The sequence below is a fragment of the Homo sapiens genome, chromosome 17 (genome assembly GCF_000001405.40).
Source record: "Homo sapiens chromosome 17, GRCh38.p14 Primary Assembly".
NCBI lineage: Eukaryota > Metazoa > Chordata > Mammalia > Primates > Hominidae > Homo > Homo sapiens.
The window spans coordinates 67,783,915-67,793,217 of record NC_000017.11 but is presented as its reverse complement, the minus strand read 5'-3'; the positions used below and the strand labels follow the sequence as shown (position 1 = coordinate 67,793,217).

General features: G+C 44.4%; 1 pseudogene, besides 2 other annotated features; it reads right to left on the bottom strand.

Annotated features, from left to right (window-relative positions):
• RPL17P41 (ribosomal protein L17 pseudogene 41) lies at window positions 7,887–8,485 on the bottom strand (annotated as a pseudogene).
• Window positions 8,591–8,885: a silencer, noted in NCBI's record as "tiled region #7199; HepG2 Repressive non-DNase unmatched - State 10:DNaseD". NCBI's record gives its function as "weakly represses a minimal TATA promoter and a strong SV40 promoter by Sharpr-MPRA in HepG2 cells {active_cell/tissue: HepG2}" and the evidence as "EXISTENCE:reporter gene assay evidence [ECO:0000049][PMID:27701403]".
• Window positions 8,591–8,885: an enhancer, noted in NCBI's record as "tiled region #7199; K562 Activating DNase unmatched - State 5:Enh". NCBI's record gives its function as "activates a minimal TATA promoter and a strong SV40 promoter by Sharpr-MPRA in K562 cells {active_cell/tissue: K562}" and the evidence as "EXISTENCE:reporter gene assay evidence [ECO:0000049][PMID:27701403]".

The following is a 9,303-nucleotide window of genomic DNA, read 5'->3' as shown; positions in this document are numbered from 1 at the left end:
GGGTCCAAAATCTGGTCTGCATTTTACTAGCTGTGTAACCTTGAGCAACATCCTTAACCACCTGTGCCTTAGTTTCTCATCTCCAAAAGGCAGATAATATGAGAAGACTTTGAAAAGTTTGTGGGAAATGGAATTAAAAATTAAAAATTAAAAAAAAACATAAACCTTATTTTTCAACATAATCCCCATCAAGTTCAAGACACTTTTGTAGGGGTGGGCATGGTGGCTCACACCTGTAATCCTAGCACTTTGGGAGGCCGAGGTTGGTGGATCACCTGAGGTCAGGAGTTCAAGACCAGCCTGGCCAACATGATGAAACCCCATCTCTACTAAAAATACAAAAAATTAGCTGGGCGTGGTGGCGGACGCCTGTAATCCCAGCTACTCGGGAGCCTGTGGCAGGAGAATCACTTGAACCTGGGAGGCAGAGGTTGCAGTGAGCCGAGATCACGCCACTGCACTCCAGCCTGGGCAACAAGAGAGAAACTGCGTCTCAAAAAAAAAAAAAAAAAAAAAGACCCTTTTGTAAGTGATGATACCAGCCCTTTAGTCTATCCCTAAAGAACTGAGAGGCCTGGGAATTTAACCATGTCAATGTAGTCTTTTTTTTTTTTTTTTTTTTGAGGCAGAGTCTCACTCTGTCACCCAGACTGGAGTGCAACGGTGTGATCTCAGCTCACTACAACCTCCGCCTCCTGGGCTCAAGCGATTCTTCTGCCTCAGCCTCTCAAGTAGCTGGGATTACAAGCACGCACCACCATGCCCGGCTAATTTTTTGTATTTTTAGTACAGATGGGGTTTCACCATGTTGGCAAGGTTCGTTTCAAACTCCTGACCTCAGGTGATCCACCTGCCTTGGCCTCCCAAAGTGCTGGAATTACAGGCGCGAGCCACCACAACCAGCAGTCAATGCAGCCTTTTTTACATTATTAGCTGAAGAAAAATGGATGCCCTTTAAATTTTTTTTTAAGACTAGGAAACAGGCTGGGCGTGGTGGCTCACACCTGTAATCCCCACACTTTGGGAGGCCGAGGCAGGTGGATCACTTGAGGTCAGGAGTGTGAAACCAACCTGGCCAATATGGTGAAACCCTGTATCTACTAAAAATACAGAATTAGCCAGGTGTGGTGGTGCACACCTGTAGTCCCAGGTACTTGAGAGGCTGATGTAGGAGAATATCTTGAGCCCGGGAGGCAGAGTTTGCTGTGAGCTGAGATCGCACCACTGCACTCCAGTCTGGGTGACAAAGCGAAACTCTGTCTCAAAAAAAAAAAAAAGATTAGGAAACAAAAAGAAGTTAGAAGGAGCATGGCCAGGCTTGGTGGCTCACGCCTGTAATCCCAGCACTTTGGGAGGCTGGGGCGGGAGGATCACGAGGTCAGGAGATCGAGACCATCCTCGCTAACACAGTGAAACCCCGTCTCTACTAAAAATACAAAAAAATTAGCCGGGCGTGGTGGTGGGCACCTGTAGTCCCAGCTACTGGGGAGGCTGAGGCAGGAGAATGGCCTGAACCCGGGAGGCAGAGCTTGCAGTGAGCCAAAATCATGCCACTGCACTCCAGCCTGGGCGACAGAGCGAGACTCCATCTCAAAAAAAAAAAAAAAAAAAAAAGAAGTCAGAAGGAGCCAAATCAGGACTGTAAGTTGCATTCTAGGCCAGGCGCAGTGGCTCATGCCTGTAATCCCAACACTATGGGAGGCCGAGGCGGGCGGATCACCTGAGGTAAGGAGTTCAGGACCAGCCTGGCCAACATGGTGAAACTCCGTTTCTACTGAAAATACAAAAAAAAAAAAAAAAAAAAAAAAAAAAATTAGCTGGGCGTGGTGGCAGGTGCCTGTAATCCCAGCTACTCGGGAGGCTGAGGTAGGAGAACCACTTGAACCTGGGAGACGGAGATTGCAGTGAGCCGAGATCGCACCACTGCACTCCAGCCTGGGTGACAAAGTGAGACTCCATCTCAAAAAAAAAATAAAACAATAAAAAAGGTGCATTCCTAATGATTTCTCATTGAAATTCTTGTAAAATTGCCTTTGTCTGATGAGAGAAATGAGCAGAAGCATTGCTGTGGTGGAGAAGAACTCTCCAGTAAAACTTTGCTGGCATTTTTCTGCAGAAGCTTCGACTAACTTCCTTAAAACACTCTCCTAATAAGCAGATGTTATTGTTCTTTGGCTCTCCAGAAAGTCAACAGCAAAATGTCTTGAGCATCAAAAACTGTTGCCAAAAAAGCAATCCCATCATCCAAAAGTGGGCTAAGGACATGAATAGACAATTCTGAAAAGAAGATATACAGCCAGGCGCGGTGGCTCACGCCTGTAATCCCAGCACTTTGGGAGGCCGAGGTGGGTGGATCACAAGGTCAGGGGTTCAAGACCAGCCTGACCAACATGGTGAAATCCCGTCTCTACTAAAAATACAAAAATTAGCTAGGCGTGGTGGCGGGCGCCTCTAATCCCAGCTACTCAGGAGGCTGAGGCAGGAGAATTGCTTGAACCCGGGAGGCGGAGGTTGCAGTGAATGGAGATCGTACCATTACACTTCAGCCTGGGCGACAGAGCGAGACTCTGTCTCAAACAAAAAAAAAAAAAAAAGAAGAAGAAGATATACAAATGGCCAACGAACATATGAAAAAATGCTCAACATCACTAATGATCAGGGGAATGCAAATCAAAACCAGAATGTGATACCACCTTACTCCTCAAGAATGGCCATAATCAAAAAATTTAAAAATAATAGATGTTGGCATGGATGCAGTGAAAAGGGAACACTTCTACACTGCTGGTGGGAATGTAAGCTAGTACAACTGCTATGGAAAACAGTGTGGCAATTCTTTAAAGAACTAAAAGTAGATCTACCATTTGATTCCACAATCCCACTACTGGGTATCTACCCAGAGGAAAATAAGTCGTTATATGAAAAAGATGCTTGCACACGCATGTTTATAGCAGCATAATTCACAACTGCAAAAATGTGGAACCAGCCCAAATATCCATCAGTCAACAAGTGGATAAAGAAACTGTGGTGTTGGCCAGGCATGGTGGCTCACACCTGTAATCCCAGCACTTTGGGAGGCTGAGGTGGGTGGATCACCTGAGGTCAGGAGTTTGAAACCAGCCTGACCAACATGGTGAAACCCCATCTCAACTAACAATACAAAAATTAGCCAGGCCTGGTGTCACGCACCTGTAATCCCAGCTACTTAGGAGCCTGAAATAGGAGAATCACTTGAACCTGGGAGGCAGAGGTTGCAGTGCGCCGAGATCGTGCCATCGCACTCCAGCCTGGGCAATGAGAGTGAAATTCCATCCCCCCTTCTCCCAAAAAAATTAGTCAGGTGTGGTGGTGCACGCCTGTAGCCCCAGCTACTTGGGAGGCTGAGGTGGGAGGATTACTTGAGCGGAGGAGGTCAAGGCTGCAGTGAGATGTGATCATGCCACTGTACTCCAGCCTGGGCAACAGAGTAAGGCCCTATTTAAAAAAAAAAAAAAGTGTTTTTTTTAGCAGAATTCATGTTGCTCTGACAGGGGCTCTTTTCAAACAATGTCTTATCCTTAGTGCCTCAAACCAGATCTTGATGTGAAAGGTTATGACAAATTAGTATGCGTTTATTTTGGTACAAAAAATGTTTGAAATCCATGCATAGTATTTTCATTCATTATGTGCGTTTTTAGTGAATTTTTTGAAGACTCTTCATATCTACCACAAGAATTTTTAAATGAGGATTAAAGGAGCTAATGTACGTAGAGGCTGGGTGTGGTGAGTAACATCTGTAATCCCGGAGCTTCGGGAGGCCAAGGCGGGCAGATCATTTGAGGTCAGGAGTTCAAGACTGGCCCGGCCAACATGGTGAAACCCCATCTCTACTAAAAATATAAAAATTAGGCCAGGCATGGTAGCAGGCACCTGTAATCCCAGCAACTTGGGTGGCTGAGGCATGAGAATTGCTTGAACCTGGGAGGCGGAGGTTACAGTAAGCCAAGATCATGCCATTGTACTACAGCCTGGGGTAACAGAGCAAGACTCTGTCTCAAAAAAATAATAATAAAAATAAAAAGTTTTTTAAAAAAGGGGGAATAAAAGAGGCTACTGCAATTTTCCAAGTGAAAAATAGTGGCCAGCATCGTGGGCCTGGAGGCTAGCAGTGGAAGCAGCAAAATGGAGTCAGATTCTGGATATTTTGAAGATAGAGATGATGGAATTTGCAGGCGGACAAAATGCAGAGCATGTGCAAAAGAGTCATTAAGGATGACTCCAGAGTTTTAGCCTGAGCAACTGGAAGGAGAATTGTCATTAGCTGATGCAGGGAAGACTAAGGGAGGAACAAGTTGGGGAAGATCAGAGTTTAATTGTAGACTTGTTAGGCTTGAGACACCTAGTAGATATTCAGGACAGGTGCAGTGGCTCATGCCTGTAATCCCAGCACTTTGGCAGACTGAGGTGAAAAAAATCACTGGATCCCAGGAGTTAAAAAGCAGCCTGGGCAATAAGGTGAGACCCCCCATCTCTACCAAAAAAATACAAAAATTATCCAGGCATAGTGGTACATGTTTGTAATCCCACCTACTCAAGAGGCTGAGGTGGGAGGTGGAGGTTGAGCCCAGGAGGCAGAGGTTGCAGTGAGCTGTAATTGCACCACTGTACTCCAGCCTGAGTGACAGAGCCAGACCTTATCTCAAAAAAAAAAAAAAAAAAAAAAAAAAAAAAAAGATGTTCAAGAGGGCAGCTGGGTATACAAACCTGGAATCCAGTGGGGATGATATGATCCAGGTTGGAAAATTAAGTTTGAGAGTTACCACCTAGATAATATTTAAACCCAAGAAACTGCATGAGATCACAAGCAAGTGACTATAGATGGAGGAGAGGTTCGAGGACCACACCCCAGCACTCTTCAACATTCACTGTTTGGGAGATGAAGAGAAACCAGCCAAAGAAACTGACAATGAGGGGCCAGCAAGGTAGGAGGAAAACTAGCAAGAAATAGAATTGGAGGAGCCAAATGAAGAAAATAGGTGGAGAAAATGATCGACCATGTCAAATACCACCAACAGTTCAAGACAAGTAAAGACTGAGACGACCATTGGATCAGCAACATGAAAGTCCTTGGCAACTGGAACAAGGGCAGTTTCAGAAGAGTGGTGGGAACACAAAGCCTAATTACAGGGGGTTTAGGAGAGAATGAGGGAGACAAATTGAAAGAGGGAGTATTGACAATTCTCTCAAGGGATTTTGTTCTCAAGAGGAGCAGAGATTGAGAGTACAAGGTGGAGGGTCCCATGAGTTCAGGAGTAACAGACCAGCCTGGGAAACATAGTGAGACCCTATCTCTATAATTTTTTTTTTTTTTTTTAGATGGAGTCTCACTCTGTTGCCCAGGCTGGAGTGCAGTGGCGCAATCTGGGCTCACTGCAACCTCCGCCTCGTGCCTCAGCCTCCCAAGTAGCTGAGATTACAGTTGTGTCCCACCATGCCTGGCTGATTTTTATACTTTTAGTAAAGGTGGGGTTTCACCATGTTGGCCAGCCTGTTCTCGAACTCCTGAACTCAAGAGATCTGCCCGCCTTGGGCTCCCAAAGTGCTGGGATTACAGGGATGAGTGCCCAGCCTACTTTTTTTTTTTAAATTACCCAAGCATGCGGTGGCATGCACTTGTAGTCCCACCTATTTGGGAGGCTGAAGTGGGAGGATCACTTAAACTGAGGACATGGAGATTGTAGCAAGCTATGATCACACCACTGCACTCCAGCCTGGGTGACAGAGCAAGAACCCCTCTCACAAAATAAATAAATAAATAAATAAAAATAAAAGCAGAGAAATGGGGGCAGAAATAGGAGGGGCTTGTGGGATGGATCAAGAGAGAGGTTTTAACATAGGAAAAATAACACCATGTTTATATACTGACCCAGTAGTGAGATAAAGCATTCTTGTTAAAGTTTCTAATAAAGTTGTTTTTCACTATCCCTTATTCCTACTATTGTAAATTGCTTTACAGGAAATATTTTTAAAATTTGAAGGTTCTATTGGCCCCAGATGATCAACAGTGATGACTTTTTCTGGCATACTAAGGGTAAAATAATTTAAACAGTACACAAAGGTATAAAATAAAACTAACAATGGCTTATGTATCCCTCCAGAAACTTTCCTGTCATATATCAACAAATGTGTTTATGTATATATACCATTTTCTTTTAATTTGCGCAAAAGCAATTGTACTTTTTATATATAGAATAGTATCTGTCCTATATATAAAGCCTCTGAATAGAAAGAACTTCACATGAAGAAAGCTACTGCCACTTTAAGAAAGGTGTGAAAACGGCAGGCATGGTGGCTCACATTTGTAATCCCAGCACTTTGGGAGGCTGAGGCAGGTGAATCATGAGGTCAGGAGTTCGAGACCAGCCTGGCCAACATGGCGAAACCCCGTCTCTACTAAAAATACAAAAAAATTAGCTGGGCATAGTGGCAGGCACCTGTAATCCCAGCTACTCGGGAGACTGAGGCAGGAGAATCGCTTGAAACCAGCAGGTGGAGGTTGCAGTGAGCTGAGATCGCGCCACTGCACTCTAGCCCTGGCGACAGACACTCTGTCTCAGAAAAACAATTAATTAATCAATCAATTAAAAAGGATGAAAACAATGTGGCCCTATATTATTTCAAGAATTAAGGTCTCAATCACACACCAGTCTTCCAAGTCAGTATTGTTTTAGAATGGCTATGTTATTCCTCTTTTGAGAAACATTTCTTCTCTCTCTTTTTTATTGAGACAGAGTCTTGATCTGTTGCCCAGGCTGGAGTGCAGTGGGGCCATCTTGGCTCACTGCAACCTCTGCCTCCCCGGGTCCAAGCGATTCTCATGCCTCAGTCTCCTGAGTAGCTGAGATTACAGGCATGCGCCACCACGCCCAGCTAATTTTTGGATTTTTAGTAGAGACAGGGTTTCACCATGTTGGCCAGGCTGGTCTCAAACTCCTGGCCTCACATGATCTGCCCATCTTGGCCTCTCAAAGTGCTGATATTACAGGCGTGAGTCTCTGCACCCAGCCAAGAAACATTTATTTTTATTGAATGGCTCTTATATGTCTGTTTTGAGAGCCCCTAGCTAAACTGGGGTTTCAGTACCAGAGCAGCTAGCAGCCCTGCCCTAATGGGAAATGAAGGGAGCTGGGCATAGGTGTCTACAGTGCGTCTCTCATGGGGTACTTCTTTAACGTGGTGGAAGGTCTAATGCTTAGCTGCCCAACCTGTGCCCAGGGGCTCCTTCACATGGGAAATGTGTTTATCCTGGCAGACGCTCCCATGGCTGTTGTCTGGTCTGTGTTCAGTTTATGATTGTCTAACCATCGCTTTGATGCTGAGAGCCCAGCCTTGTGTTCTTCCCAGTGTCCCTGGAAAACCTAGGTAGCCCCTGGTTCTTCAGATGAAAGGCACCCATTCAATCCACCACAGTAGGAAATATGATCAAAGGTTTATTACTTACAGATCCTGGGCAGGGAAGGCGCCATGAGTCAGGAGTATCATCCTCCATCCTCAGGTCAGGCAAGGCAGAAATTAAGAGGCAGAGAGTGAGAGAAGCAACTAGTGGTACGTATAAGAGAATAGTGTGGAGTCCTGATAAGTAAGCGAAATGAGGACAGGGTCTCAGGTGGGGGAGAAAAACGAACACTTGTTCTGAGAAAGTGCTAATCACAAACTTGTGGGCACAATGACCTGTTTGGCATGTAGCGCCAGGATTACAACCTTGTTCTGCATGTAGCCCCCCTCCTGCAAGACCCTATAAAACCTCCCCCTAGCCCCTGCCCCTTGGCTGACAGCCCCTTCTCTACTGTGCTGCCCATCGCACCCTTGCAACATATTTTCACGCTTTCTCTAATAAATCTGCCTTTTTTTTTTTTAACTTTTAATTGCATTTATTTTAATGCTGAATGTAGTCCTGTGTCATCAGTTTTTGTTTCTTCAGTTTCTTCTGGGATATCTTTTTCTTCTGGGCAACCTCGTCTTCTGGTTTAGGAACAATCTGTTCCTTTTCAGTAAGGATAATCTCAGTGTGGCAGGGAGAGCTCATGCATGGGTTAATCCAACCATGAGCTCTGTAGGTCCAGCAGCCCTTCTTAGGTGCTTTGTTCACTTGGATATGCTCAATGACCAGAGAATCTATATCTAAACCCTTAAATTCTGCATTTTTAAGCATGTGCAGCAAAAAGTCAGCACTCTTTTTGGGCCACCGACCTTGTGCCCAGCCCCAATGCTTGGCCTGGGCACCCCTGCCAACTCCACCATTGTAACATTGGAATGGTACGCACTGTTTCTGTAAAGTGACATCTTTCAGATACTTTGTGGCTTTTTGTATATGCATACGCTTGATGGCCTGCAGTTTCATGAGTGTTCTTAAAGTGAACACGAAGATTTGAACCTCTTGATTTGCGTGATTTTGTGGGGTTCTCTAGGTCAAATGAATAGCGAACCATTTTCACAGATTACCTCAGGCCGCTTAGGGAAAGAGGAAGAGTGGTTAAATCTGCCTTTCTTTACCTACAGCTGTCTTGGTAAAATCGTTTACCACCTGCAACAAATAGGGTGTCACTTAAAGTTGAACTTAAAGCCCCTTTAAGTTTGTGGGCAAATGCCTGAGTAGTCTGTTTAAAGGAAGTGATGGGAAACCAGGGGGCCCAGTCTGCTAGGCGGGAGAGATGCCTTTAAGTTCTTATCTCTGGCCACCAGCTTGAGCCATTTGGGCGTGGTGTTTCACTTCTAATTCCCAGGCAACAACCTTTACTGTGTTGTTCTGGTTACATGTCAAAAGTGAAGCTAGTTCCTAAATGTTTCCTGGTTGGTTTGGTTTTTATTTAGTATTGTCAATGAATCGTTTTCTCCTCACTGACTTTTCCAGTGTATGTATCCATATATATTTTATGTATCTATATATATATCTATATATCTTTTACATGTAGATATATATACTGGAATATATATATAATATATACTGCTAAGTGTGTGTGTGTGTATACTTTGACTAGTGTAGTGAAAATGTGTATATATATACTGTTACTAGTATATATACATATATATGCTATATATACACATATATACATATATATGCTATATATACACATATATACATATACATATAGTAGTAAAATATATATATAGGCCAGGTGCAGTGGCTCATGCCTGTAATCCCAGCACTTTGGGAGGCCGAGGGGGGTGGATTACGAGGTCGAGTTGGAGACCAGCCTGGCCAACATGGAGAAACCCCATCTCTACTAAAAGTACAAAATTAGCCAGATGCAGTGGTGCATGCCTGTA